We start from the raw sequence: 8185 nt of genomic DNA, 5'->3' as shown, positions 1-8185 counted from the left end.
AGCATGCACACAATTTAACCACATTCTTTGCCACTACATAACAAGGATGATCTTTACCTCAGTTTCCAATAAGATATTTCTTTTTTACTCTGAGACCTCACCAAAATGACCTTTATTGTCCATATTTCTGCCAACATTTTGGTCACAACATTTAAATAATCTATAAGAATTTCCAGACTTTCCCTACAGCTAGGCTCTTCTAAGCCCTCACCAAAATTGCCCTTATTACTCAGTGTTCAGAGTGTTAGGGTTTTTCTAGCCTACTCTGCCAAATTCTTCCATCCTCTATTCATTAGCCAGTTCCAAAGCCACTTTCACATTTTCAAGTATCTCTTATAGCAACAGTCCCATTTCTTGGTCCCAATTTTCTGTCTTAGTCCACTTTGTGTTGCAATAATAGAATACACAGACTGGGTAATTTATAAAGAAAATAAATTTATTTCTCATGCTTCTGGAGGCTGGAAAGTCCAAAATTAAGGTGTGTCAGTACCTGGTGATGGTCTTCTTGCTGCATCATCTAATGGTGGAAGGCAGAAGGCCAAGAAAGCCTAAGAAAGCAACAAGAGAGAACTAAACTTGCTTTTTACAGCAACTCATTCTTGTGATAAAAACACACTTCCATGATGACAACATTTAATCCACTCATGAAGAGAGTACCTTCATGGCCTAATCACCTCTTAATTAGTCCACCTTTAATACTATCACAATGACAATTACATTTCAACTGAGTTTTGAAGGGGACATTTCAATCATAGCAAAGCAGCAGTAATAAAATTTCACCCATTCATTCTCACTCAGTAAAATTTTTTGAAGGAGAAAATGAGAAATGCATATTTTACCATTGTCTTTCATGTTGAAGTAATCAATAAAAATTTTCTGAAGTACTTCAATACCTAAATATCTGTAGGTTCTTTAGTTTATCTCTACTGGCAATTAATCTTAGGTTTAACCCCAAATCTAAAATCCCACCTAAAATTATGCATTTTCATGAACCTCAAAAATACTGAATACTAGATTGCTGGATAAGCAGTCTGAAAATCCTATTCAATAACTTTTTAATCTGAATATTGAAAGCAAATTGCTAATTATTATAACTCCAATACTCATTGTTTAAACTTTTAGAACATAAACCAAGTAATCTGTAGTATATCTTTAAAGGACTCCTGGCTTACAAATTCATCTCTGTATCTTGTCATGCATTTAGTACTTCTGACATATTTACTAGTCATTTTCCTAAATTTGCCAGTTTTCATGATACTTTTGCTTTGCAAATGCCATTTCTACTCTGGGAAGCTTCTTTACTTCCTGCTCTGTCTAATCAAATTTACTTATCCTTAAAAATCTCAGCTTAAATGGCATTTTTCTATAAAAACTTTCTACATAGTTGTTCTCAGTCTCCCAACCCTAATGGAGGTACTCATTTATTCTTCTAAGTTTGGTAAGCTCTTTTTTGGTAAAGTGATACTTATCACATCAATCTAAGATTTTCTCTTTTTTCTCTTATTATCTTCCTTACCATATTCATCAGCAACACTACTGCCTTATAGTTCTTATATCTATTCATCATGCACTGAGCCAAGAGCAAGATGAAAACACATAAAGCTCTATTTTTTTGCAGTCTTCTCTGAATCTTCCCTTCATCTTTTTTATGAAATGAACGTTATTTTTAGGATAGTTTTATCCTTACATAAAAATAAACAGAAAGTATAGAGTTCCCACGTATGCCCTGTCTCTCCACATACAGGTTGATCTATTATTTGCATCTTCTGTTAGTGTGGTATACTTGATATAATTGATGAACCAATATTGATATATTATTATTAACTAAAGTTAATAAAGTTCATCATTTAGGGTTCATTGTTTGTGTTATACATTCTACGGGTTTTGACAAATATGTAATGACTTCTCAATTATCACGGTGTCATACAAAAACATTTACTGCCCTACACATCTCCTGTACTCCTTCTTTTTTGTCTCTACTCAAACCCCCATACCCTCACCAACCACTGATCTTTTCTCTGTCTCTATGGTTTTACCTTTTTCAAAGTGTCATATAGTTGGAATCATACAGTATGTGTTTGTTTATTCATTCATCTCTTGCACTATATCTTGGTCATTTCCATGTTTTGGCAATTATAAATAGAGCTAGTATAAATATTTTTGTGCATATATAAGTTGTCAACTCATTTGGATAAATATCAAGGAATGCAATTGCTGGATTGTATGGCAAGAGTATGTTTACTTTTGTAAATAACTAAGAAATCATCTTCCACAGTGGCTGTACCATTTTACACTCCCACCAGCGACGAAAGACAGTTCCTGTTACTCCCCATCCCAGTCAGCATTTAGCATTGTCATTATTGAAAATTTTGGCCATTCTAACAGATATGTAGCGATATCTTACTGTTGCTTTAATTTGCAAATCTCTAATGACCTGACATATGATGTTGATGATCTTATATGCTCATTTTCCATCTGTATATCTTCTTTGATGAAGTATCAGTGAGATTTATTGCAAATTTTTAGCTATTTTTTATTGAGTTCCATGAGTTCTTTATATATTTTAGATACCAGTCCTTTATCACATCTATTTTGCAAAAATTTTCTCTGACACTGAGATCTCTCTTTCCATTCTTTGACAAGTATTATTTGCATATGACAAGTTTTAATTTTAATGAAGTTCACATTTTCAGATTTTTTCATGGGTTATGCTTTTGTTTTTATGTGTGAAAAGTGATTGCCAAACCAAGGTATCTAAATTTTCTCCTATGTTGTTTTCTAGGAGTTTTATGTTTTTATATTTTATGTTTATATCTTTGACCCATTTCAATAAATTTTTGTGAAGGTATAATTTCTGTGTCTATATTCATTTGAAATCATAATTTTGTTATTTATATTATTGGTATTTTAGGTATAGTTAAGATAGCAATAAGAAAATGTATACAATTATCAGCTGAAGTGTCATTCGCAAACCCTAAGTGATAGAATTGGACTTGTACTCAAGTCTTCCTGGTTTCAAAGACAAAGATATTAATTATCATGCAATATATTTGATTCAAAGCTCAGTAATCTTTGCAAAGCATAATATCTAGCATACTCTCTGGCACATAGCAGGGCCTTAATAAATCTTTGGTCAAAGAATGATTAATAAAGTAACAAAAGAGATAAAGTTTGTGTGACATAATCAAATACCAGAAAAATCAAATCTGGTATTTTGTTGTTATTGTATTCACTTTTGAGTAAGCTCAATTTTTTAGTGGATGCTTTATTAAATAACATAGATGTAGCTTATTGTCCATAAATTCAAAATAATTAAAATATATGTAGAAGCAGTTTAAAACTTAGATAAATAGATGATAAATTATGACAGATCAATAGAAAGCCATGGTGAGATTTGGATTAAACACATCTTATACATTTTTTTTTTTTTTAACAAACACTAAGTACTGACTATTACTGACATTTAGGAAGACAGAAGAAATTTTTTAAAGTGTTTTAAGTACACATTAACCTTCAAATGGAAGATACTTGGCAAAAATAATCAATTTTATAGCCTTAAACTAATGTTCTTATAATGATAATTTTACTCAAACAATAATTGCGTTTTTTAGATGGGTTAACACTTAGCTCATTTGCATTCAGATTTAGGGATCTACAAAATTACTAGGTAATAGCTACAAAAGGAGAAGATGTTTGTCATAAAATTGTATGCTTTCCATGGAAAGTTACTGAAATCGGTAGATGTTCTTTTCAGCTAATTAATTTTTGGAAGCTTCATCCTCATTAATCATCTGACAGGCTCAAATAACAATACATGCCCTTCTGATCATGAAATTCAGTATTATATCTTTAAAATGCCTTTTTACAGAATTTTTATGACTGCCAATTTGTGCAGAGTCAAGCAGCATTATTGTTTATAGACTAGAGAAGCACACTTGAGTTTTTTAATAAACTTTTGTATCATGCATTCTTTTTTACATGTTTAATGACACTTAACATTATTCTTAAAGTACTAATATCTTTAAGTTATCACAGTTACACTATGAGGGAAAAGATATCAAAAATGTTAATATTTTTTCTAATACTTTGTGAGAGAAAAGACATCAAAAATGATAATATTGGCAGAGTGTGATGGCTCACGCCTGTAATCCCAGCACCCTGTAACCCCAGGTGGATCACCTGAGGTTGGGAGTTCAAGACTAGCCTGACCAACGTGGAGAAACCCCATCTCTACTAAAAATACAAAATTAGCCGGGCATGGTGGTGCATGCCTGTAATCCCAGCTATTTGGGAGTCTGAGGAAGGAGAATCACTTGAACCTGGGAGGCGGAGGTTGCGGTGAGCTGAGATTGCTCCGTTGCACTCCAGCCTGGGCAACAAGAGCAAAACTCCGTCTCAAAAAAAAAAAAAAGTTAGTATGTTTTCTAATACTTTGTGAGAGAAAAGACATAAAAAAAGTTAGTATTTTTTCTAATACTTTGTAATTCATATTTTTTTCATAGAAAAATAGCCACCTTTTAGGTTTCTTTAAAAATGCAAATTTTCCTTATTTTCTACTGTCATAATTGACCCAACAACTAGGCAATTAGGCAAACTGGATAGCTGTCTCTGATTATAATTGAGAGGTACAAGACACTTTTCTCAAGGACATCTGCCTTGAAATTATCTAGCTTATTGTTTCTACCACTCTAAAAACTTTCTATAGGATTCAGTTACGTCACTGAGGGAAGACAAGTCTTTCCCACAATTTTCAATCTTCCTTCAAAGTCCTGGTCTCCAGAGTTATGGACATTTATATGTTATGAAATAGAGTATGTTTGCTTTTGTATCTCCCAGAAGTATTTGTTCCTCACATGCTATAGGTGTTAGGCTTGCAGCCATTGGCTTCCTTAATCTTAAAACTATTTGCTTTCACTCAAAAGATATACATCTTTTTCTTATCTCTTTTGACCACGTAATTTCAAGGAGAAGGGTCCTGAATTGATGGAAAAGGTAACTGAATAGCCAAGAAACTTCCAGAGCAATTTAATGAGTTATCTTCCTATGTAATTATATTCCAAAAGGGATTAATCTCATGTTTTAAATTTGAAAACCCCTATCATATCTTCCCCTAGAGACACTTAGTAACATTTCTAAATCATAGGAACCAAGAATCTTTCCCATGTTTTCAAGAGGAGAATTTGTTTATACTGTGGTGTGTTCATCTTTCTTTCTTAGGAGGAGTGAGGGTACAAGGGTTCCTCTCCTGAATAAACACCTAGACCCTATTTTGGGGCTCTCACAGTACAGTCATAAGTAGGTATAGCAAGACATCTGGCTCTCATTAGATTACCCTAGGGCAAATGGAAATGACTTAGTTAGTCCTGTAGTAAGAAATATTTTGTCTACTTTTAGAATAATACTAGTAAACATAGATATTAAAATCTTAGGCCATTACCTCTTTCGAATCATATTCCTCTAATACCTGGAAGTAAAGAAAGTATCATCATTTTCCATAAATATCTCTGATTCTTACATGTTTCTTTCCAGTTCTTCCTAGCACAGTCACCTTTATTCCTAGGTCTCTTTGCCTTCATCTGACACCCTCTTCCGGCATTTCTAATGAGGTCTCCTTATCAGGGGAAAAGAGGAAACTGAAACTTTTGTCTGCTGTGATTCAATTCTCAGTAATTTTTCATACCTAGTTCTCTCCTTCAACTTTGTCCCCTGACCCCCAAAGTCCTTAAAACTGTTGGAGCTTTTTTGGAGGCTCTCTCTACCGGGCAATGACCCACACATCTGTGCTGATCCACCTGACCCTGCACTGCAATGCCATTCTTTGAAAGGAAATGGATTGGAGGGGGTTGGCCCTTTTTATGGTTTTAGCCTCTTGTTAAAGCATGACAGTAAGTGATTAAATGCTTAACTCTTTTCTTCATGACTAGTTGCTTCAATTAGATTCTTAACACTGACGGCCCATCTCCAGATGCATTTAAGCTTCTCTCAAAAGAAGTGGAATAGTATTTATGCTGTGAGCCCAAAATACCTGAGACAGGTCTCAATCAATTTAGAAAGTTTGTTTTGCCAACGCGAAGGATGCACCCATGACACAGCCCCAAGAGGTCCTGAGGACATATGCTCGCTTTGTCAGGGTACAGCTTGCTTTCATACATTTTAGGGAGACATGAGATATCAGTCAATACTTGTAAGATATACATTAGTTCAGTCTGGTAAGGTGGGAAATCTGGAAGAGGGAAGGGGGCAGGGGGAATTCTAGGTCATAGGTAGATAAAAGATAAAGTTTGCATTATTTTGAGTATTTGATCAATACACAATTTAGTGTGGCTCAGTGAATCTGCATTTTGGCATACACAATAGGATGGAGGAAGAAATCAGACATGCGTTTGTCTCAGGTGAGCCTAGGGATGATTTTCTGTCTGCAGCACCTGTGAAGATAAGCTATCAGTTTGCATTGCCAGGGTGAAATTCAACAGAATTGTTTTAGGATAAAGATCTAGAGGCCTACAAGGAATTTCCCTGTGGGCAAATTGTGAGGGTGGTATGTAGCTCTTTTCTCTTTGTAGCTATCTTATTTAGGAATAAAATGGGAGGCAGGTTTTGCCTGACCTGGCTCCCAGCTCGACTTTTCCCTTGGCTTACTGACATTGAGATCCTGAGATTTATTTTTCTTTCACAATGCCAAACATATATGTTTCTGTCATTCATCACATAAACACAGATACGTTTACTTATTAAAGATTTTGTATAACTCCATTTATTTGAAAAGAAGTAAGTATTTTGATCTCTCTTTCCTCTAAAGGTCAAATGGAATCAGCAAATTCATTAAGAAAAATGAGATTTCAAAGCTGAAACCACCATTGCAAAATTATAATTGAAACAGTAAAAGAGGTGTGACCTAATCAACGCCATCTTGCTTCTAACCTCCAAGCTGCCCTTGTTCATTCCCGGGCGTAGGCTGAATTAACTTTGAGAGGAGCTTAGTTTATAGTTTAGCTCTGAAAAAAGATGATAATAGCCCTTTCCTGAAAAACCCCTTCTTTCCTGGGGACCAGTCTGCCTTTGTAGGACTAACAGATTAGCTAGAGATTAGAAATTACAGTTTAGGGGCCACGAAGGTTCCAGCTGCAAGTTTCTGAACTTCCCCACATTGCTACTGGGAATAACGTTGCTTTTGTAAAACCTGGGATCAGTGCCTGAGATATTTTGCAGACCCTGAGTTCCAATGTACCAGCTGACACCACCCAGACCAGTAATATGTACAAACCTGTTCTGTAATCCCACCAAAGGAACAGAAGAGAGCAAGAAATGCTCGCTTAGACCCCCTGTGATTTCATCTCCGACCCAGCCAATCAGCACTCGCCACTTACCAAGCCCCTCCCCAGTCAATTATCCTTAAAAATTCTGATCCTCGAATACTCAGGGAAATTGATTTGAGTACTAATGAAACTCCTATACAGCCGGCTCTGAGTGAATTAGTCTTTCTTCACTGCAATTCCTCTGTCTTGATAAGTCAGCTCTGACTAGGCAGCAGCAAGGTGAACCCGCTGGGTGGTTACAAAGCCACATAAAGCCATTTACAATTTACAGTATTTTGGTATCTTACTATGCCAAAACAGACTGTCTTTAGACTATCTGCAGAGACCATTAATGTTATATCAGAGAAATGTGATGCTTTACATTTATAAATTAACATGTTTGTGATAGGAAAATGACAAAATGCAGAAAACCGTAATGGAGCTAAAATCATTCAGATATAAATTCCATCTCTTTGTTATGTGCGTGTGTCTATGCATATGTAATTATGCAATGTTTTATACAAGGCGTGATTTGGATCAGAGTGATATAGTTTTGCATACCATGTTACTTAATTTTGTCATCAAACGTTTATGAAATGCATTCAATATGCCATTTCAACATATCATAAAAAATTATTTAGAACCACAATTTTTAAACTGAAAGGTATTATCTCACCAGAAAGATTCAACCTAATATGTTTAAAAATTCCATTGTAGAAATAGACTCAACTTTCTCCACATTACAAAAGTGTTAAATAATTATATTTGAAGATAAATCTCTACATATTTAACCAAAATAGATTTCAACAGATGAAAATGTTTTAACAAATAATATAAACATATTTAATATTTTGATACATAATCAACAACTATCCTTACAAATACTTGCA

At 34.6% G+C, this 8185-nt stretch overlaps 1 long non-coding RNA gene across 1 annotated transcript; it reads right to left on the bottom strand.

Annotated features, from left to right (window-relative positions):
• Positions 1–415: 415 nt before the first annotated feature.
• LOC107987190 (uncharacterized) lies at positions 416–5521 on the bottom strand. The gene is made up of 2 exons (XR_001750010.1): positions 5438–5521; positions 416–548 (listed from the first exon to the last, which is right to left on the bottom strand). It is a non-coding gene; the product is annotated as an uncharacterized LOC107987190 (long non-coding RNA).
• Between the last annotated feature and the right edge of the window lie 2664 nt (positions 5522–8185).

The sequence above is a fragment of the Homo sapiens genome, chromosome 13, assembly GCF_000001405.40.
Source record: "Homo sapiens chromosome 13, GRCh38.p14 Primary Assembly".
NCBI lineage: Eukaryota > Metazoa > Chordata > Mammalia > Primates > Hominidae > Homo > Homo sapiens.
The sequence above is the reverse complement of the archived record's forward strand: the minus strand, read 5'-3'. Positions and strand labels throughout refer to the sequence as shown.